Source organism: Homo sapiens, chromosome 1 (genome assembly GCF_000001405.40).
Source record: "Homo sapiens chromosome 1, GRCh38.p14 Primary Assembly".
NCBI lineage: Eukaryota > Metazoa > Chordata > Mammalia > Primates > Hominidae > Homo > Homo sapiens.
The window spans coordinates 179,874,143-179,895,687 of record NC_000001.11 but is presented as its reverse complement, the minus strand read 5'-3'; the positions used below and the strand labels follow the sequence as shown (position 1 = coordinate 179,895,687).

Genomic DNA, 21,545 nt, shown 5'->3' with positions numbered 1-21,545 from the left:
TCTCAGGTGATCCACCTGCTTCGGCCTCCCGAAGTGCTGGGATTACAGGTGTGAGACACCGTGCCCGGCCTCTTTTTTCTGAGACAAGGTCTCTTTTTGTCGCCTAGGCTGGAGTGCAGTGGCACAATCTCTGCTCACTGAAACCTCTGTGTCTTGGGTTCAAGTGATCCTCCAGACTCAGCCTCCCAAGTAACTGGGAATATAGGCACGTGCCACCACACCCAGCTAACAGTTGCATTTTTTTGTAGAGACGAGGTTTCGCCACATTGCCCAGGCTAAATTCCTGGGTTCAAGCGATCCACCTGCCTTGGCCTCCCAAACAGCTAGGATTACAAGCATGAGCCACCATGCCTGGCCTTAAAAAAATACTTTTTTAAAAAAGGTATTACTCTTCCCAATGTTCATACAGAAGCTTTGAGAATTAAAATCATATTTTGAGCAAAAAATCCTTAATATTAAAACATTATTAAAGAAATCATAAAGGCTGTGGCTTTAGCAAATATATAGACAAATGGTAATAATTAAACATGCTGTTTAAGAAGGTGTTATATTTTCCAGTAACCTCAACCAATTAGGAAAAGCTACTTTCAGAAGTCCGAGGTCTTTATGTTTAAGATAGATCACTTAACAGTCATCGCCTCTAGTGAAAACCAAGCATTAATTGTGCCACTTTGTTTACTTTCTTTTACTTGGCCAGTTTTTAAGGAATTCAAACCTTAGGTATAACCCGGCCTTTTACAACTTATAAAATTCCCTAGTTATTTTGAAAGCCCAGGTGCCAAAGCATCTACATTTCTCCTGTAGATTTTGCTATTCCTAGAAATTTGTGGGAGGTACTTGGTGTGAGGAGCAAAGGCCACTCAAGAAAACATAAACTTGGCTTACTTTGTGTTTTGTCTGGGGACAAAGACATGAAAATATAAATAAGACTACTGTGCTTTCTCAAAGGAATACTGGATAGAACACAGGAGTCATTGCTTCCTTCCTTTCTTTTTTTTTTTGAGATGGAGTCTTGCTCTTGTTGCCGACAGTGGAGTGCGATGGCACGATCTCGGCTCACTACAACCTCCACCTCCCAGGTTCAAGCGATTCTCCTGCCTGCCTCCCAAGTGGCTGGGATTACAGGTGCCTGCCACCACAATTGGCTAATTTTTTGTAATTTTAGTAGAGATAGGGTTTCACCATGTTGGCCAGGCTAGTCTTGAACTCCTGACCTCAGGTGATCCGTCCACCTCAGCCTCCCAAAGTGCTGGGATTACAGGCATGAGCCACCAGGCCCAGCTTGTTTCCTTTCTTCTTGTGCTCTGGGTACAACCTAGTATGGAGTGTTGTAATAAATATATGTTCGAGCAAGTATATAACTCCTGAATTTACTCTGACAACAAACAAATGACCATTTGCGTGATTTGTCGTCTTTATTCTTTTTTTTTTTTTTTTGAGACAGAGTCTCGCTCTGTCGCCCAGGCTGGAGTGCGGTGGCGGGATCTCGGCTCACTGCAAGCTCTGCCTTCCGGGTTCACGCCATTCTCCTGCCTCAGCCTCCCAAGTAGCTGGGACTACAGGTGCCCGCCACTGCGCCCAGCTACTTTTTTGTATTTTTAGTAGAGATGGGGTTTCACCATGGTCTCAATCTCCTGACCTCGTGATCCGCCCGCCTCTGCCTCCCAAAGTGCTGGGATTACAGGTGTGAGCCACCGTGCCCGGCCTTGTTGTCTTTATTCTTGCCATCAGTATAAATCAGGGGTCAGCAAACTTTTTTTATAAAGGACTAAATAGTAGATATTTTAAGCTTTGTGAGTCACATAAGGTCTCTGTTACATGCTTTGTCTTTTTCAGCAGTGTAAAAATTCCTTCTTAGTTCATGGGCTGATTAAAAAGATTGTAGGCCAATTTCACCCAGAAGCGGTAGCTTGCTAACCCCTGGTACAGATAGTTTTAAGACTATCTGCTGGGCATGGTGGCTCATGCCTGTAAATCCCAGCACTTTGGGAGGCCAAGGAAGGTGGATCATTTGAGGTCAGGAGTTCAGGACCAACCTGGCAAACATGGTGAAATGCTGCCTCTGCTAAAAATACAAAAATTAGCCAGGCATGGTGTCATGTGCCTGTAATCCCAGCTACTTGGGAGGCTGAGGCAGGAGAATCGCTTAAGCCTGGGAGGTGGAGGTTGCAGTGAGCTGAGATCGCACCACTACAGTCCAGCGTGGGTGACAGATTGAGACTCTGTCTCAAAAAAGAAAAAAAAGACTATTTGATGCCAATCACGCTTTTGAGAACAGAGTCAAGAGTGGGGCAGCAGGAAAGAGCAAAGAATAGTCTGGTGGTATCACTAGTATTCAAGCTCCACGAATGGCCATTTCATAAACTCCAAGGTGTACTAACATTACTATAAAGGAATTGAAAAATGTCACTTTTTTTTTTTTGTTTGTTTGTTTGTTTGTTTTTGGAGACCAAATCTCGCTCTGTCGCCCAGGCTGCAGTGCAATGGCGCAATCTCGGCTCACTGCAACCTCCACCTCCCCGGTTCAGGCAATTCTCCCTGCCTCAGCCTCCCAAGTAGCTGGGATTACAGGTGCCCACCACCATGCCCGACTAATTTTTTGTATTTTTAGTAGAGACAGGGTTTCACTATGTTGGCCGGGCTGGTCTCAAACTCCTGACCTCAGGTGATCCACCCGCCTCGGCCTCCCAAAGTGCTGGGATTATAGGCATGGGCCACCGCACCCAGCCTCATTCTTTCTACTAAACCCACAGAAAATTACTTTAAAATGAAAATCTCTTTTTTAAATTTACAATCACACAAAAAAATGAATTTAAATAATATGACATAATTTCAGACAATAAAAAACAAAGTTTTTATTACAAGGTGCTTATAAAAATGCTCTAGCAAAGAGTGTTAGGTTATTTCAGTTCCAAGTTCTCTTTTTTAAAAAGTTTTTTTTTTTTTTTTTGAGACGGAGTCTCGCTCTGTCCCCCAGGCTGGAGTGCAGTGGCGCAATCCTGGCTCACTGCAAGCACCACCTCCCAACTTCACGCCATTCTCCTGCCTCAGCCTCCCAAGTAGCTGGGACTACAGGCACCCGCCACGATGCCCGGCTAATTTTTTGTACTTTTTAGTAGAGACGGGGTTTCACCATGTTAGCCAGGATGATCTCGATCTCCTGACCTTGTGATCTGCCCGCCTTGGCCTCCCAAAGAAGTTTTTTTTTTTGTTTGAGACAGAGTTTTACTCTTTTTGCCCAGGCTGGAGTGCAATGGCGTGATTGCGGCTCACTGCAACCTCTGCATCCTGGGTATAAGTGATTCTCCTGCCTCAGACTCTCAAGCAGCTGGGGTTACAGTGCACAGCACCACCACGCCTGGCTAATTTTGTACTTTTAGTAGAGACGGGGTTTTGCCATGCCAGCCAGGCTGGTCTTGAACTCCTGACCTCAGGTGATCTGCCCACCTCAGCCTCCCAAAGTGCTGGGATTATAGGCGTGAGCCACCACACCCAGCCTAAAAAGCTTTTTTAAGTCTCTAAAGAAGTGGCCTGAACTTAAGTGAAAGATGAATTAGAGGAAGGTACAATGATTTATAAAGAAAAATGAAGCGTTTCCCTTTTGGCTCATCTTCAAATTTAGAAAATAATTAAAATGTAAAAAAAACTAAGTCTAACAACATTCAATGTAGATTCATTTAAAACCACAAATCATGGTATGTCATGTCCTATAGCCAGGCAGACACTGAAATGAATTAAAACCCGTTCAACGAACGTATTACAGCAAAGGACACTGAACTCGCCGTGAACAACGTATCGAATTCACTTTCTAAATGAAGAAAGGGCCAGGTGTGGTGGCTCACGCCTACAATCCCAAAACTCTGGGAGGCCGAGGCAGGTGGATTGCTTGAGGTCAGGAGTTCGAGACCAGCCTGACCAACATGGTGAAACCCCATCTCTACTAAATATACAAAAATTAGCTGGGTGTCATGGTGGTCATCTGTAATCCCAGCTGCTTGAAAGGCTGAGGCAGGAGAATCACTTGAACCAGGGAGGCAGAAGTTGCAGTGGGCCAAGATCACGCCATTGCACTCCAGCCTCGGTGATAGAGCAAGAGCCTGTCTCGAGAAAATAAAAATAAATAAATAAATAAAAATAAAAAATAAAAATAAAAATCAAGGAGAAAGGCCGGGCGTGGTGGCTCATGCCTGTAATCCCAGCACTTTGGGAGGCCAAGTGGGGTAGATCACAAGGTCAGGGAGTTTGAAACCAGCCTGGCCAACATGGTGAAACCCTGTCTCTACTAAAAATACAAAACAAGTAGCTGGGCGTGGTGGTGGGCACCTGTAATCCCAGCTACTTGGGAGGCTGAGGCAGGAGAATTGCTTGAACCTGGGAGGCAGACGTTGCAGTGAGCCGAGATCGCACCACGGTACTACAGCCTGGGTGACAGAGCAAGGCTCTGTCTCAGAAAAACAAAAACAAAAAATAAATCAAGAGAAAAACCTTAATTGGTAAGTTGTTATCTCCTTTTTCCTAATAGTGTGAATTTAATGAAGACTAGCAGGACTAAATTGATTACATGTTTTTATATGAATTTAAGCAATAATATAGGCATAATTATAGACAACAAAAACCAAGGCTGTTTATGGGAGGTCCTAGTCATAGGGACTGGGTCCCCACAAACTGACATAATAAATTAGTATTCTCAAGCCAATGACTAGATATATATACTCTTGTATTCTATTAATCTGGACCCTCAAAGAGACCTTGTAAGAATTAGAGATAGGGTTGGGCGCAGTTGTGCATGCCAATAATCCCAGCACTTTGGGAGGCCAAAGCGGGTGGATTGCTAGAGCCCAGGAATTCGAGACTAGCCTGGGCAACATGGTGAAACCCCATCTCTATAAAAAACACAGGAATCAGCCAGGCATGGTGATGCATGACTGTAGTTCCAGCTACTCCAGAGGCTGAAGTAGGAGGCTCAGTTGAGCCTCCAGAGTAGCTGGGACTACAATAGGAGGAGGAGGCTGCAGTGAGCCAAGATCACGCCACCGCACTCCAGCCTGGGTGAGAGTGAGACCCTGCCTGGAAAAAAAAAAGAATAGAAATAAACGAACATAATTCACTCATTTTAGTATTTCTATTTGTTTTGTATGTCGAATCTGCAAGAGACATAGCAAGAGAATGATTAGGGTTGAAAAGGAAATGCATCATATGGTTCTTTACCACAGGTTCATTAACAAAACCTTAGTAGATCTTTACCACTGGAATACTTAAAAGGATAGTCAACTATCTATCGAAATAAATCAACATCATTCTTTGATAAAGAGAATGGGAAGGTACAGAAGCCTAATATAAAGATAAATACATTTCCTTTTTAGTTCCCATGATAAAGCATCTTTAAGAGCCAAAAAAACAAGGAAAATGAAGTAAAAGTAGACTGCTTGGAGTGTCTTTACTAGTTTTCTTCATAGTCATGAAATCAATTTCAGGGCAATACTTTTAATCGTTTTAGTCAAAAAGATAACTGAGGGAGGGACATTTTGTCGTTCTGTGCCACAGAGCTCCAGCTTGAATTTTTTGTTAGCAGTATACTGGAAGAATAAAGTCCCTGACCATAGTTTAAAATCATCATAAAGAATCACAGGAATATATAAGAAACAATCTCTTTAAAAAAGGAAGCTTTTTATATATGAATATAGAAATATCTCTGTATATATGTTAAGTAAAAATAAACAAGAAAGTGCAGAAAAGTAAGCCAGGTGCCGTGGCTCATGCCTGTAATCCCAGCACTCTGGGAGGCTGAGGTGGGTGGATCACTTACCCAGGCGTTTGAGATCATGTGGGTAACATGGCAAAACCCCATCTCTACAAAAGATACAAAAATCAGCCAGGCGTGGTGGTGGATGCATAGTCTCAGCTACTTGGCAGGCTAAGGCAGGAGGACTGCTTGAGCCAGAGAGATTGAGACTGCAGTCAGCCCTGGTTGTGCCACTGCACTCCAGCCTGGATGACAGAGCGAGATCTTGTCTCAAATTAAAAAAAAAAAAAAAGACAGAAATGAGAGTTTATAAAGCCAAAATTTGTATTATAAAAAGGACAAGATAATTTCATCCATGAATTTCTGTAAATCTCCAAAAAATATAAACTGACAACATTGGTTGCTTTTGATGAAGAGAGACTGGCTGGCTGAATGACAGAGGGGACAGGGAGATTTTTTAATGTATATTTACAGTAACTTTTAAGTTCTGAATCATATGAATACATGTACAACCATATTTAAAAATAAAACTGTATTTATAACAAAGGTAAACCAACAGACAAACAATCTCTTACCATATCTTGGGTATCTTAGAGGGGGTCGACGTAACCTGATTACAAGATCTTCACTCACTGCTAATATAGGAAGAGAAAACATTTAAAAATATATAAAATGTGAAACATACTAGCTTTATTACATGATCATCCCTTATTTATTCAACAAAGGTTTACAGAGCTTTTATTTACGCTAGAGAAGTAGAGACAAGCTTTCTAAGTGACAACTGTTGCGAACTAGTGATGATAGTGAACTAGAGACAAGTTTCCTGCCATATAAAATTTATAGTCTTGATGGAGAAATTTGCATTTTTTCTCAGCAAACCGTAGCTGTAGGAAGGAAAGAAATACTAAATAAAATTCTTCTAAATTGCTCAATTAAGAACCAAAATCTGTATTATGGTACCAACTCAATTATCTATTCCATTTGTGACTGACCCTCATTGTGGATTATTTATGGAATATTTTAATTTTAGGGTTAACATCCTGAGATTCAATACGCTCATTCTATTTAACCTTGTGTTGAAGAAATGCAAATTAATTTTAAATAAAAACATTAATGTGGGCCAGGGTTTATTTTAGACCATCTATAGTTCAATGGCATAGGGATAGCGGAGAAGCCGATCCTATTAAAATGTTAATTTTAGTCTAGAAAACCACCTATAAAAGTATGTTTTCTCCAAGTACCTCACATAACATGTTCTAAAACCAAATATTTATCAAAATTTGGATTCTATTATGTTTTGTTTCATTCATCTGTATAAAAAAGCATTATGTCTTAGCTCTGAGTTGCAAAAAACACATTCTGGAACTTTGATGATCCCCTTAAATATTCCAGCTCTAAAATTCTATGAAATATCTATCTCAGTATTTCACACATCAAGTATTTAGAACTTATATCGATATCTTTAAAAAATAAATCTTGCCAGCCTAGGCAACATACTGAGACCCTGTCTGGGCATAGTGGTGTGTGCCTGTAATCCCAGCTATTTGGGAGGCGAAGGCAGGAGGATGATAGCTTGAGTCCAGGAGTTTGTGGCTGCAGTATAACTGCACTGCACGCCAGCCTGGGTGACAGTGAGACCCTGTCTCTTTAAAACAAAAACAAAAACCCTGCACACATGATAATAAAGGCAAATTTTAGTTCCTGTTACTCCACATATTACAACTACCTTCCTCTTTTTCTTCTCTATACTTCTAGCCTTTTCAGGTTTAATTAAAACCTAAAATCTGTTTTTGGTTTGTCTGCTTTTACTAAGCTATGTTTAATCAAACTGACTCTACAGACATCAATCACTACTTCAGTTCCCATCTTTTCATTTAAGAAGCATTTCCTGCATGTGCTACTATATACATATCCCATAGCCAAGTAAAGTACTTGAAAGACACAGGGTACCAGAGAGAGGTATGAGAGAACAAAATATCAAGTACCCTTCTTTGGTAGGAGGCTTCCTCACTTGTCTGCTTTTGTTCACCACTGCACCCTCAAATCAAAGCATGGAGACTGGCCCAAAGTAGGTGCTCAATAATTATCTGGAGAATGAATGCTCTAACTACAGCAGCTAGAGAAGCAAATGTTCATGATAAAATAGTAAGCATTTAAGAACAACTATCTGATTGTTTAGCTAGAAACCACACTAGTAGAACAAAAATACCCATTTAACTTCTGGAAAAGTAAATAGAATTTGTCCTAATATATTTTTGGATTATAAAATTAGTGTCATAATTTCCAGAAAGAAATGAATCTGGCCATAGGAGAATAACTGTTATGTAGGTATATATAACCTGAATTGATTAAACAACCTAACGGCTATTTTAAGTGAAAACAACTCAATTATGGAATTTCAAACAATGAGAAGATTTCAAACTATATTCCTGTTCTGAATTAATCAACATTTTCAAGTCTTCCAATAACAAGATAACCAAATGATGTAGATATTTTTACTATGTTGTTTTATAAGGTGGTCCTTTGGTTTAGGTATTTTTTTTTTTTAGACGGACTCTGGCTCCATCACCCAGGCTGGAGTGCAGTGGCATGATCTCGGCTCACTGCAACCTCCGCCTCCCGCGTTCAAGCGATTCTCCTGCCTCAGCCTCCCGAGTAGCTGGGATTACAGGTGCCCACCACCACGCCTGGCTAGTTTTTGTATTTTTAGTAGAGATGGGGTTTTCACCATATTGGCCAGGCTGGTCTCGAACTCCTGACCTCGTGATCTGCCCACCTTGGCCTCCCAAAGTGCTGGGATTACAGGCGTGAGCCACCATGCCGGGCCTAGGTCTTTATTCGTAAGGGCATCTTTGCATAATTTTCTGTCAGACCACACCGGTAGCCTTATATACAATTATAGCACTATTTTGAATATCAAAGTTAAACTGAATGTCTATCATTCTATGAGGAAGAAGGGCTTATCTTTACCTTAAACTTGTACTTAAAGCAGTCCTCCATCAAAGAGTGACTCCATTTAAATAATTTCTCTTAGACTTTATAAGCATTTAATAATTCCCTAAACTCTCCTTTCATTAAGAGGCATGGGATGGGAATATGCCAAGTATTAGATGTAGTATAAAAGCACCTTTTAGAGGAAGAAAACCCTGAGTATCTCAAACCTCTCAAAGACAGACATACTCTTATTTCTAGTAATACTGAAGGCACAGTATGCTATTGATACAGTCCAGGTAATCTATGTGCAGATTCCATTTAATCTGTCATTTATATTGGTAAACATTTTCAATTTCTATTTATAGCATAAGCTTCTTGAGAAAAAGGATACACTTAAGCAAAATTGTATGAACTTCACATCTCTTGTAAAGGGCTATGAGAAAAAAAAAACCTCACTTGCATGTTTTACCGGGTACAAAGTGATTTCAAATGTACTATCTCATTTCTTCAGAGGCCCTGTGAGTTATGCAGGGCAAATAACACAGGTAAAGGCCTAAGGCTCAAGATGAGTGAGTAACTTCACTGAGGTCCAATGCTCTTGCCACAACCTCATGCAGCCATGGTGTACCTCATTAGCAGTTCTTAAATATGAGCCTAATATAAACTCCAAAAAGACTATTCAAGACATTCTATTACTTAATAGTTTTATAATGGTCCGGAGGCTAGCACTCAGTAGTCTTCATTATACCAATTTACTTAACTCCATAATTTTTATAAATTACTCTAGATTTAAAATTAGACATTTTTGCTTTCCCAGGTATACAATAAAATCTACTGCAAATAAATTCAAGATTATGGTTTTCCAAAATGGCCCAGAAAATCTGATTATATCATCATTATTCAAAGCATTTTTCTAAGATAGTTTATAATCTTAACACAGTAACATAGACTATTCAAGGAATATAGGACAGGCCAGGCGTGGTGGCTGATGCCTATAATCCCAGCACTTTGAGAGGCCAAGGCGGGTGGATCACCTGAGGTCAGGAGTTCGAGACCAGCTTGGCCAACATGGTGAAAACCTATGTCTACTAAAAATACAAAAATTAGCCAGGTGTGGTGTCAGGCGCCTGTAATCCCAGCTACTCAGGAGGCTATGGCAGGAGAATTGTTTGAACCTGGGAGGTGGAGGTTGCAGTGAGTGGAGATGGCACCACTGCACTCCAGCCTGAGCAACAGAGCGAGACTTTGTCTCAAAAAAGAAAAAAGAAAAAAAAATTAGCATGAAGGTGTTTTTATTTGAAACTCAACTTGAACCAGACATACTTATTCTAAGTTTAGAATACAATAGCTCACATTATAAAGCATAATCTTATTAGAAACAGGTAAATAAGTCAGGATCTGGGTACTAAAAACCAAGGATTATCAGTTTTAACAGCTATGATTGTTTATTATTGTGAGACTTTCCTAATATCAAAAAAAGCAAATTGAAAATTAAATGGAACTAAAACCCAAAGCATTAATAACTGGACTTGATCCCTTCTCCAGCTTTTTAAAATATTTTAATCAGCTTTTAAAACTTAAGTGAACTATTAAATGTAGCCTACTTCCATGTTACATTGATTCTGACAATTTTTTTAAACACTTTAACATCTTTGAAATTGGGATGCATCATATAATTATGGCATATTACTACAAATTACCAAAAAATTGGCAGCATTTTCCCTTGCTAGGTGGTACATAAAACAATGATGGTGTTTCTTATAGTCGATAGCATCTTAAGATTTGATAAACCACAGTATTAAACTGAAAAGACTGATCACACTGTGTCAAGATTTTACCATGAAGAAAAGTTAATCCATTTTAAACACAGGGCAGTATAACATATTCATTCATTTGACATTGAACAAATTTTACTGAGTAGCTAGTTATGACATGAGAGAATGATAGTGAGGCACTTGGGGGGAAAGTAAAAGGGCTCTGGAGAAGACAAACCTGGGTTTGAATTTTGGCTCAGTCACATATGTGATCTTACAGAATTGTCTTAGCTTCTCTGTGTTTCAGTTTTCTCTTCTATGAAATTGGTATAATACCTATCTTACAAGGTTATATGGGTGGCTGGTACTCTTGAGTACTCACGTGTCTGCCCTTGTCTTTTCTTTACACATACTTACATTGTTTAATTCAATGAACATTTAAAAAGTTGGTAGGTAAGGAGAAAAACAAAAAGTTAACTATTCTTACCTGGAGCCTCTTGTATGCTCCTGACAGTTTTCTTTGAGATCGTTTGGCTTAAATCAGTTTGGGAAGATGCTTCATCCTCTAAAAAACAGACATAACAAGAGTTAAAATTCAGAATATATGACCTGGGAGATCATGGCACAGATTATGCATTTTTGTAACAATACATAAGCAAAAATTCAAGAAATTCGTTTCTTTAGAAACAGGTGGTTAGGTTTACCAAAACTTAGGAAATATACCAGTCAGAACTCCTCTTGAGACAGAATACAATGAATTCAACAGAATATAATAATATTTGCCATTGTTGTTTTACAAAAATATATTACTTCAGAAAATCAAAAAGATGGGGTAGAGAGTCACAAATGATGTGGAAGAAAGCAGAAGAGTGAAAAATGTTTAGATCCTTAAAGATTTAATAAAATAGGGGTAAATTCTTTACTTGTTAAAAAAAAGTTAGCCTGTATAACTGCACTAGGCTCTGTGGAACTCAATACAATGTAACATATTTTTTGCCTACCATGTACAAAGCATTCTTCCAGGTACTGAAAAATACTGAATTAAACCAAGTACTTAAATTACTATCAAATATATTATAGGCTCCTTGTCTGCAAAAACTTTGTAATCTTAAAAGAGATAAAACTAACACATATATGGGCTAAACTGTCTTCAGTTGCTACACCCAAAAATAACTGACATAACTTTAACATAAAGTTTCCAAAATCAAGTCTTCAAATCTGTCAGTACCTTCACGAGTCAGCAGGTAAACTTGCAGCCTATCACCGTGCTCTAAGCTGAAAACCCACTCCTCCGCCTATCAATAGTCTACCACAAACTATGTCATCCCATTGTGACTCAGGTCCGCTGATTTTTACCTCACAGGTGCCTTACATGGGATTAACATGAAACTTCATCTGTGACTCAGTGTTAGGTCCTAAAATGGGGGGGGCAGGGTGGGAGAGGATAGATTAAGGAAACTGATTCACCTATGACTTACCTAACACTATACACTCACTTTGTCAGCATCCCTTTTGTCCATTTAGACGAAAACTCTAATTAATAGTCTTGTTTTTCAGGTTACTTTGTCAGTCTGATTTGCCAGACTACTTGAGGTTACAGTGACGGCCACCAAAGTGGCAGATTTTTGGCAGGGACCACCACACTGGAGAAACAGCAATCAGCTCAAGTTATCAAACACTGGGGAACATCAGTTCAGGAAAAATGAGTTACCCCATTTCGGTGAAAGTATTGGGTGAGGTCTCAAATCAATTCACTAAACTCAGCAATCCCTCGAAATGCCCACTCACAAAATTTCTCCTTCCTCTCTGCCCACCTGGGTGAGGAGGGAAAAAGACTGAAAGGTTAGATCCTCAGCTGGGGACTCTGGCCCGCGAGCGTTAAAGAAGGAAATGGAAGTGGTTTCTGTAGAAACATCCGCAGGGTAGAGGGAACCGAAATGAAACCGACCCTGCAGTAATTCGCTGTCCCCTCGTGAAGGCCTGCAGAAAAAGGCAGCTCTGACTCCCCTAAATTGATGCCCGATGTTGGGCAGAGCGCCCCAGCCCTGCCCGGGTCGCTCCACACGACCATCTTTCCACTCCTCCGGTCGGCGCTTCCTTCCCCGCTGCGGGTCAGGGTGGCCCTTGCACGGCGGCACAAGTCCAGAGGGGGCTGAGGAATACCCTTTAGCCAATCCCAGTACTTAGTACCCAGGCGGGCATGAGCTCCACCGAGGCGCGCGCCCGCCCCCGCGCGTTCCCTGGCTCGCGGCTGGGACTGTTACCTCCGCGGTCCTCACCTTCAGAGGAATGAGAGTCCCGCAGCCCTCTCCTGGTCATAACAGGAGACGGCTGTAGCGGAGGCTGCTCTGAGTGCTGCTGCTGAAGGCGGGTAGTCCTTCGCGTCTTCATTTCCTCGGTTTCCTGGGGTCGCGGCTGCCTCCGCTGCCTAGACCGAAGGTAGTACGCGCTTTCTCTCACTTCCTCTTTCGCAGAATCGGACCGGAACTCTTCTAGCCGGGTTCGTTTTCCCACCGGGGACCTTTCTTTGGCCACCAGGGGCTCGAAGTCGCCGTACACTTCTGGCGGCTCGTCCGAGAACCTCACTTCCCGCCGGCCCTGGCGCGACGGAGGAGTTCTGTACGCAGGCGCATCGCTGCTGCCGCCATTTTGAGGGGCGAGCCGGCCCCTTCCCTCTCGGATGGGGGCCCTGGGGGTGACGTACACACCCCATCCTTCCCGCACCGCCTCTGCCCGCCGCCCGTCGCCCGCCATAGTTGTTGACGTAGCTTTAGTCGATCGCGAAGATGGCTTTATGGACCCTAGGTTCTCCTGCCGGTGGTGGCGATGGCTTCTCGGGGGTGTTGGGCGGTGGCCGCTGTGGTCAGGGAGGCAGTTGCGAGTCGCTGGGGCCGCCGCCTGCGTCGTCGCTGCTGTGTAGCAAACCTGCCTCTGGGCCCATGGTGTGTCTTGAGGGCTGTGAGAGAGGCAGTGCCTGAGCTGGGTCAGCTGCTGTGGATCGCTCCCGCCTCCTGGCTGGAGGCACCAAAGAGGAGGAGAAGGGGGAGGAGGACGTCTCTGCCATCGCCCTTAAGTAAAGGAGGGGTGGGGGCGATAGAAGGATGGCAGGGCAACTTGCCTGTCCTAAGTCTAGCCGCTCGTGGCAAGTGTTGACTGCGTGTAGGAGACTCCCGTCCTATCTCCCAGTACCAAGTCTCGGGGAAAAGGAGTGCGACGAGGGTGGAGAAGACCCAAGTTTCGCTTCTCGGCCCCAGGCTGTTGCGCAGTTTCCCTGGAATCTTTTTGATCGACTGCTACGTTGACCATGTCCTTCCCAGTGTCCTTAGCAGGAGTGATGGCCAGAGAGAGAACTTTTGCACATGCCATGTTTTCGTGGCAAAAATTTTAGTTTCAAGTACCTTATGAGGGCGGTTACCTAGTTTTGAATTTTGTCACTTGTTGAGGGTGTACAAAATCCTATCTAGAGTCATACTCGTTGGATGTATTTTCTTTTCCGAAATGTACCCATAGGACACATAACCTTATTCCTGGTCTTTAATATTTCTCGGTTTTATACCAAGCAGCAGTGTTCGGAAGACCATGTTAGTGCTACATTGTGCACAGTGAGAAATGAACAAGTTTTTTAATTAAAGACAGCACTGTAATTTTAAGTTGTGATCCATTATTTTTACTTTTATTCTGGATGTGACGTGATACTCTACATTTGATTTAGAATGCTTTATGGACTTTATGGAATAAGAAAGCATGGTAAAATCTATTTGTTTCACCTCCTTATACAAATGTTTACAGATGTGGCTAATCTGCAAATACCTAACCAAATTTAGACACATTCAGAGAAGGTCGATTAAGTTCGTGTAAAGTCTGAATAATTATTGAAAGAAAGCTTAAATTGCCTTCAAATATACAACTGCTTGTAGGGCTTTGTATGATTGGAGTGAATAGATTTAAAAAATTGTAATTTGGATACCAGTTACAATGAGCGATTCTGAAAAGTTTGAAGGTGTTTGTTTATTCTTCCAAGTAATCACCTTAAAATGTTTTTGAGCAACTCATTTGTTGCTCAAACTTGGCACAAATTTCAACTACTTAAGTCGTAATGTGTACTATGTTTTTATTTTATTTTTATTTTTATTTTATTTTTTTTGAGACGGAGTCTTGCTCTGTCACCCAGGCTGGAGTCCAGTGGCGCGATCTCGGCTCACTGCAACCTCTGCCTCCCGGATTCACGCCATTCTCCTGCTTCAGCCTCCCCAGCAGCTGGGACTACAGGCGCATGCCGCCACGCCCGGCTAATTTTTTTGTATTTTTAGTAGAGACAGGGTTTCACCGTGTTAGCCAGGATGGTCTCGATCTCCTGACCTCGTGATCCGCCTCTCGGCCTCCCAAAGTGCTGGGATTACAGGCGTGAGCCACCCTGCCCGACTGTGTACTATGTTTTTACTAATATTGTCCATAAATTTGGCCACAGGCAGGAGGAATTACAGTTTTAGAGTGAGATAAGGTTTGGCCTGTTAGGAGCTTAGTTTACTGTAGCTTTATGTACAATATAGCTTTTAAAAACTGCAGTAACAAAAGAGAGACTTCTTTCTTTCTTTTCTGTCTCTCTTTCTTCTTTCTTCTTGTCTTTTAAGGAAAAATGAAAAGGATACTCTTCCTTGTCAGTCTGGATTAGATGGTATATTTCGGAAATTAGCTAGATTTACTCTTCCAACAAAATGCTCAAAAGTATTGATATGGTAATACGTGGCTTTTATTTATGTTTTAAGCAGGGCTTTCTCTTTAAAGTGGCTATTACATTACTCATTAGTAACACAATAGTATAAGTTCCTTAATAGATTTAATTATTAAATATAAATTTTATAGTAATATATTGAGTTCATATTATGAACATTAAAGTCTCCTTGAAACATTTTACCAAGACAGATGACTATGTAGAAACTGGGATACTAGCTTATAAAACTTGGATACAGGCTTGTAAAACTTAGGTTTGAGGGACAAATTAAAAAAGAGACAAGAGATTCTACATATTGAACAATCAGAGGAGAGGTTCTGCATATTATTGAATAATCAGAATATGCATATTTTGTAATTAAAACTGCTTGTAAAGGCTTAGGAATGGCCTTTCAACTAAATTAATGAGACACTTACTGTAAAATTAGAGGTATGGTAACTTTAATGCTAACACACACACACACACACACACACACACACACATATATATATGCATCGGATTTTCCCTCTCATCTAGGTTGTAAGCATAAGGAAACCTACCTCTACTGTGACTGCCTCCTTCACCTAGAAACCTTACAGATACGAAACTTTCATCACTAGCTCTGAGGCAAAGCTAAACTGTTATGAAACTAGATACTCTGCTGTAGCTATTATCCAGACTATAAGAGTGGCTGAAAAGAGGTGACATTACAGTGACAGTAGAGTCATAGCCAATATTATAAGGGATGCGCTGGGCCACTAAAAAAGGATGCCTCAGCTCTGGATATTAAAGTTACTTTGGGAATTTGAGAAATCTGGAGGAATTCAGTGACCCAAAAAAGAAGACCGGTAAGAAAAGAAATGATTAAAACAAAGAATACACTTAATAATTCATTTACTTATCAAACGTGTGCCAGCAATGAGGAAGACTATCTTTAGGGAATTTGTCATTTATTGGGAACGACAGAAACACGAAAAATTACAATTCAGATTAAATGGCATTAATTCACACACTTAACTATTAGGGCTAGGTCTGGAAATCCTGTGCTCTTGAGACTGGGTTCCTAAATCAGTTATTTTATTTCATTTTTAATTAATTTATTTATTTAGAGACGGAGTCTCGCTCTTTCGCCTAGGCTGGAGTGCAGTGGTGCAATCTCGGCTTACTGCAGCCTCCCCCAACTCCAGGTTCAAGTGATCCTCCTGCCTCAGCCTCCCGAGTAGCTGGGATTACAGGTGCCTGCCACCATGCCCAGCTAATTTTTGTATTTTTAGTAGACATGGATTTTGCCATGTTGGCAAGGCTGGTCTTGAACTCCTGACCTCAGGTGATCCATCCGCCTTGGCCTTCCAAAGTGCTGGGATTACAGGTGTGAGCCACCACGCCTGGCCAAAATAATTATTTTAAATGAAACATTTTAGAACAATAAATTTTTTGTACAGGAACTTTTTGCTTTAGGGTAAGCAGAAGTTCATTTATTTAAAGAGATAAATCTATCCGTTGTGACTTAGTAGTACAAATGAAGTAGGCAAACAATTTTAATAAGGAAAAGATGATTAAAATATTAAACAGGAGGAAGTTAATTAAAGACATAGTAGCTGGCTCCATTTATTCCCCAGTCTTACAAATGATAGAAAAATATTTTAATGACAATACAAATGAAAATTCCTGGAAATGTTATACTGAAATTAATTAAACACAATAAAGTGAATGGAATATAGTATTCTTTTTGTTGAATTAGGACTTGCAGTTAATTATTAAACACCATCCAAGAGTGTTACCAAATCCTGTCACTTCTGCCAAGAGAGGGTGATTGAGAAGTGAAGGCACCAAAAATCACATTAAATGAGGAATTATTAATTCAATAAATACTTGAGCTACTGTGTAGTAGGCAGTCCCTGTTCTCTGTGCTGGGGATACAGCAGTGAACAAAATAGACTAAAAGACAAAAAATGTTTCCTGCCTTCTTGGAGATTATATTCTATGGGAGGAGTCGGGCAAAAATCAAAATAAGTAAAATAGTGTGTTGGTCAGGACTGTTATGGGAAAAAAAAGAGGAAAGGGGAAGGGAGTTTTACATGAATAGATTTCTTCTTGAAATTTGGTTAGATTTGTCCTGAATTGCTGTAGGTCAAGAACAGGAATTTTAGACTTACTTCATTTTTCCCCCAACAAATTGTATGTTCTTGGGTAAATTGCTCGCCATCTCTTAATTTTCACATTTATAAAATTAGTAGATCAAAACAGCTATTTTTTGTCACTACTGTCATTTAACAGAAATGCTGCATACGTCATCTAATCTACTAATAACAAACTTATGAGGTAAGTAACGTTGTCCCCATTTGACACACGAGCAAACTGAGGTTTAGATTAGGCAACTCATTGGATTACATGCTCCTCTTAATGGCACAGAGGGTGTGTTCCAGGACATGGTGCTTGCCATTATCATTTGGTACTGCTGCTCACTGTGTTGGTCCTATGAGTTTCTTCAGTCTATGAATTTCAGGTCAGGGTGGTCGACGTCTTACAGAGATGCCTGTAATCCTGTCAGCATGAGATTGCATGGGACCTCTGCGGTTTGGTCGCGCATTTACCGCGCCTGTCGCTGGGTCAGACGACCTGGCAGTAGAGGGTGAAGGATGGAGAAGGCAGAAGGCAGGGCACGGAGACTACTAGTCCCAGGATTCCACGGGCGCCTTCCGGCGGAAAGTGTTTGTCATATGGGCGGGGACCCTGGACGACATTCGGGCCGCGGCGGCCGCTGGGTGCAGCCGAGCGGTGTGGAGCGGAGAGAATACTCGAAGGGCTCTCCTGATACTAACAGTTTTACGATTTAAAACTTCGCCAGAATTTGTAAGTAAACAAAATGACTATGCAGCTTTTCCATGTTTTAGTATTGAAACTGATATCTTGAATTTTTGAAAAGGACTTTCAGAAACGGTCCCTCCCCACCCCCACCTTCGTACCGCACAAATGGTATTTTTATTTTTATTGTTTTTGAGACAGGTACTTGCCCTGTCACCGAGGCTAGAGTACAGTGGCGTGATCATAGCTCACCACAGCCTCATACTTCTGGGCTCAAGGGATCCTCCCGCCTCAGCCTCCCAAGTAGCTGGAACTACAGGCCCGCACCACCATGCCCTACTAATTACTTTATTTTTTATTTTTATAGCGACAGGGTCTCACTGTATTGCCCAGGTTGGTCTCGAACTCCTGGCTTCAAGCGATTCTCCCACCTCAGCCTCCCAAAGTGCTGGGATTACAGGCGTGAGCCACCACGCCTGGCCTCACTCAAACAGTAAACGAGGTAGGTTGGGGGTATATTTTTGTTTTGGGATAAAAAGAAACTGAATCTTATAAATATTAAATGGGTTAAGATGTGAGTAAATTTTTGGGTTTAGACTTTAAGGTGAGAAGCCGAATTATTTTAGGGTTCGAAATGTGAGTGGGAAATTTGCCTACTAGTGTAGGCGGCGATTACTCCATTCCCAACATGCCTAGGTTCTCGACATTCATAATCTTAATCCTGAAAAGATAATACTTAAAAAAAAAAAAAATTGGTGCTAAAAAGGGCAAAGTTGAAGTTTTAGTAAGACCTCCTACCATTTTGCTTACATATTATATATGTACCATTCTCCCAATTGTATTTAATACCTGATGAAAAAGTTTGTGCCTTTTCCTTCTTTTAACAAATTTCATAGTACTCTCTACTTTATGAGTAATGCTTAATTATCAGACTTTATACTGTTACACAGATCCAGAAATGAGTTACATAGATTAAACATACTGGCTTTGTTTTACCTGTCTTTAGGTTTTAACACATTTTATTTTGGATCTGTATGAGAGATCCTTTCTTTGTTTTAAGCTGTGGCAGTTATCCATGTTTTTTGAGCTTTTTTTTTTGAGCACAAGATGAGGATATAAAAGGCCAGTGGAAACATTTAATAAAAAAAGGAACTTCATGGTAGAGTAACTACAGATGTTTTTGGAAGACTTTGTGTGGATTAGAATAGTTTGAAAAACTAACATTTGTTATGAAAACTGAGTGCCTGTCTTCAGTAATGTTTATTATGCTGAACGTGCAGTCCACAACTTGATTACCTGTTTTTCTGCTGGTTTGTTACGCAACCTTGCGTGACTCATTTAAGAACTATTTTATCTAGTTTCTTTCCTAATGTAGAGGTAATGCTAGCTTGAGAGCTTCAATAATTTATAAATAAATTAACTTCAGAATGTAGCTAATTATTTGAGGATTATTGGGTGTTTTAATAATGTATTGTATCTTGTATATAACTTATTTTTGCCTAAGAAGTAATTTCTGTATTCCATTCATTTCCATGGAACACAGAAGTCAAAATTCTATTCCAGGAAAGTCCACACTTCTTTGAAGTGCCACTTGAATTTCCTGAAGGAATGTTTGCTTCAAAAAGCCTTGTCTGCTTTATCACTTTGAGGTTGTTCACTAAGTCAACTGTGAAGGCCCATAAACTTGGAGATTCGACAACTTCCAAAAAAATTTAAAGAATGAAGAATTGGCTGTTTTATTTACCATTTAGAATTTTGATTGTGTTAAAATTTCATTAATATTTCTACATCATATGAACTACTGGATTAAACTGTGTCCTACAAGAAGGAATTCATAGGGCGATCATATATTACCATAAATTTTGCACAGAAATCAAGCACTTGGGAATAAGGAAGCGTGTCCCTAACATTGGTAATGAGCATAGACTGGAGTCATAGCTGGGTTTGAATTCCTATTTTGTTACTGTGTGGGCTGTTTTCCTCTTTACTAATATTTAAAGGAGCTGGCACATGATTTTTTTTTTTTTGGTGCCATGGCTCTGGTATGAACTGTGCACATAATTTTGGTAATCGAAATTTCTGGGAAGAAAATTCACCTATAACTCCACTACCTCAACAAATCAAATTGTTTGATTTTTAGAGATTTTCCTTCAGCCCTTGACCATGAGTATCTATCATGTAAATGTAATGACATTTTTGGAAAAAGTCAAATTTTGAAACATTGGTGTCTTCTGGGGTTTTAATTATATAAATGAAGCTGTCTGGTTTTGCCTTTAATAGTTCAAATAATAATTATTTACGGTTTTTGAGGACTTCTTTTGTGCCCCTGTGGTTGCCAGTATTGCACATTATCTCATTTGATCTTCACACTGCCTCTTTCATCTAAGTACTATTATTCCATTTTGTAATTAAGAAAACCAAGGAAAAAATTAGCCAGGGGCTGGGTGCAGTGGCTCACGCCTATAGTCCCAGCACTTTGGGAGGCCAAGGTGGGTGGATCACTTGAGGTCAGGAGTTTGAGACCAACCTGGCCAACATGGTGAAACCCTGTCCCTACTAAAAATACAAAGAAATTAGCTGGGCGTGGTGGCGGGCACCTGTAATCCCAGCTTCTCGGGAGGCTTGAGGCAGGAGAATCATTTGAACCTGGGAGGCGGAGGTTACAGTGAGCTGAGTACGCGCCATTGCACTCCAGCCTGGGCGACAGAGCGAGACTCCATCTCAAAAACAAAACAAAAAACAAAGAAAACCAAGGGCATAGAGAGAGAGAGAGAAACACCAAGTCAGAAGCTGGAGCAGTCATTCAGGTCTAGGCAGTCTGACCTTAGAGGATAGTGCTATATTGGGTTCTATATTTGTAGATTTGCTTTATGGATGTTAGGTCATATTTGTAGATTGGACTTGATCCTGGAGGCTGACTTATAACTTTCTTTGTATAAAAGTAACAGTATTTACAGTTTTTTGTTTGTTTCTTTTTTGAGATAGGATCTCTCTCTCTTATCCAGGCTGGAGTGCAGTGGCACAATCACGGCTCACTGCATCCTTGACCTCCCAGTCTCAAGTGATCCTCCTACCTCAGCCTTCCAAGTAGCTGAGACTACAGGCACACACCACCATACCTGACTAATTTTTGTATTTTTTGTATGAACAAGGTCTCGATATGTTGCCTAGGCTGGTCTCTGAACCGTTGGGCTCAAGCAGTCCTCTCCTGCCTGAACCTCCTAAAAGGCTGGGATTATAGGCATGAGCCACCATACCTGACTACAGTATATTTTGAAGTACTGTATAAAGGTACTTTATAACTATTTTTTCTTTTCTTTTTCTTTTGAGACAAGGACTTGCTGTGTTGCCCAGGCTGGAGTATAGTGGCACTATCATGGCTTACTGCAAACTTGAACTCCTGAGCTCAAGCGATCCTCCCACCTCAGTCTCCCAAATAACTGAGACTGCAGGCACACACTGCCACACCCAGCTACTTTATAGTGAACACCAGAGTCATCTGGCAAATCTGTTAAAACATAAATTCCTGTAGGAGGCTCTCAGAGATTCTGGTCTAGTGGGTCTAGGTTGGGGCCTGAATTTGTACTTTTAGCAAGCT

At 40.9% G+C, this 21,545-nt stretch overlaps 3 protein-coding genes across 11 annotated transcripts in view, besides 9 other annotated features; 1 reads left to right on the top strand and 2 right to left on the bottom strand.

Moving 5' to 3' along the window:
• TOR1AIP1 (torsin 1A interacting protein 1) overlaps positions 1 to 13,403 on the bottom strand; it is a 37,792-nt gene extending 24,389 nt beyond the window's left edge. The window contains exons 1-3 of one of the 2 annotated variants that reach the window (NM_001267578.2): positions 12,711 to 13,403; positions 10,919 to 10,996; positions 6,319 to 6,378 (exon numbers count right to left, since the gene is read on the bottom strand). In NM_001267578.2, coding sequence (NP_001254507.1) covers positions 6,319 to 6,378; positions 10,919 to 10,996; positions 12,711 to 13,185 — 613 coding nt within the window. In that variant the 5' untranslated portion in view covers positions 13,186 to 13,403. The remainder of the gene's footprint in view (positions 1 to 6,318; positions 6,379 to 10,918; positions 10,997 to 12,710) is intronic. The other variant, NM_015602.4, reaches the window with a different exon arrangement.
• Positions 12,437 to 12,536: an enhancer, noted in NCBI's record as "active region_2157". NCBI's record gives its function as "activates an Ori minimal core promoter by ATAC-STARR-seq in GM12878 lymphoblastoid cells {active_cell/tissue: GM12878}" and the evidence as "EXISTENCE:reporter gene assay evidence [ECO:0000049][PMID:35858748]".
• Positions 12,697 to 13,456: an enhancer, noted in NCBI's record as "active region_2156". NCBI's record gives its function as "activates an Ori minimal core promoter by ATAC-STARR-seq in GM12878 lymphoblastoid cells {active_cell/tissue: GM12878}" and the evidence as "EXISTENCE:reporter gene assay evidence [ECO:0000049][PMID:35858748]".
• Positions 12,697 to 13,498: a biological region, named in NCBI's record as "NANOG-H3K27ac-H3K4me1 hESC enhancer GRCh37_chr1:179851325-179851862".
• Positions 12,840 to 13,134: an enhancer, noted in NCBI's record as "tiled region #13766; HepG2 Activating non-DNase unmatched - State 1:Tss, and K562 Activating DNase unmatched - State 1:Tss". NCBI's record gives its function as "activates a minimal TATA promoter and a strong SV40 promoter by Sharpr-MPRA in HepG2 and K562 cells {active_cell/tissue: HepG2 | K562}" and the evidence as "EXISTENCE:reporter gene assay evidence [ECO:0000049][PMID:27701403]".
• Positions 12,961 to 13,498: an enhancer, noted in NCBI's record as "NANOG-H3K27ac-H3K4me1 hESC enhancer chr1:179851325-179851862 (GRCh37/hg19 assembly coordinates)". NCBI's record gives its function as "activates a minimal SCP1, AML or CMV promoter by ChIP-STARR-seq in naive H9 embryonic stem cells {active_cell/tissue: H9 hESC(naive)}" and the evidence as "EXISTENCE:reporter gene assay evidence [ECO:0000049][PMID:30033119]".
• Positions 13,295 to 13,372, bottom strand: LOC139427322 (uncharacterized). The gene has a single exon (NM_001436163.1). The coding sequence runs from the start codon at positions 13,370 to 13,372 to the stop codon at positions 13,295 to 13,297; it is 78 nt and encodes a 25-aa protein (NP_001423092.1).
• Positions 13,477 to 13,586: an enhancer, noted in NCBI's record as "active region_2155". NCBI's record gives its function as "activates an Ori minimal core promoter by ATAC-STARR-seq in GM12878 lymphoblastoid cells {active_cell/tissue: GM12878}" and the evidence as "EXISTENCE:reporter gene assay evidence [ECO:0000049][PMID:35858748]".
• Positions 13,477 to 14,037: a biological region, named in NCBI's record as "NANOG-H3K27ac-H3K4me1 hESC enhancer GRCh37_chr1:179850786-179851324".
• Positions 13,499 to 14,037: an enhancer, noted in NCBI's record as "NANOG-H3K27ac-H3K4me1 hESC enhancer chr1:179850786-179851324 (GRCh37/hg19 assembly coordinates)". NCBI's record gives its function as "activates a minimal SCP1, AML or CMV promoter by ChIP-STARR-seq in primed H9 embryonic stem cells {active_cell/tissue: H9 hESC(primed)}" and the evidence as "EXISTENCE:reporter gene assay evidence [ECO:0000049][PMID:30033119]".
• Positions 17,551 to 17,910: an enhancer, noted in NCBI's record as "active region_2154". NCBI's record gives its function as "activates an Ori minimal core promoter by ATAC-STARR-seq in GM12878 lymphoblastoid cells {active_cell/tissue: GM12878}" and the evidence as "EXISTENCE:reporter gene assay evidence [ECO:0000049][PMID:35858748]".
• TOR1AIP2 (torsin 1A interacting protein 2) overlaps positions 17,885 to 21,545 on the top strand; it is a 37,828-nt gene continuing 34,167 nt past the window's right edge. For 5 of the 8 annotated variants that reach the window (NM_145034.5, NM_001349937.2, NM_001199260.2 and 2 more), the window contains exons 1-2: positions 17,885 to 17,995; positions 18,315 to 18,449. The gene's annotated coding sequence lies outside the window, so the exon portion shown is untranslated. The remainder of the gene's footprint in view (positions 17,996 to 18,314; positions 18,450 to 21,545) is intronic. The other 3 variants (NM_001349936.2, NM_001349934.2, NM_001349931.2) reach the window with 1 other exon arrangement.

Bases quoted from the DNA above. Each gene is read 5' to 3' on its own strand.
- LOC139427322 (NM_001436163.1), bottom strand. From the start codon at position 13,372: ATGGGCCCAGAGGCAGGTTTGCTACACAGCAGCGACGACGCAGGCGGC.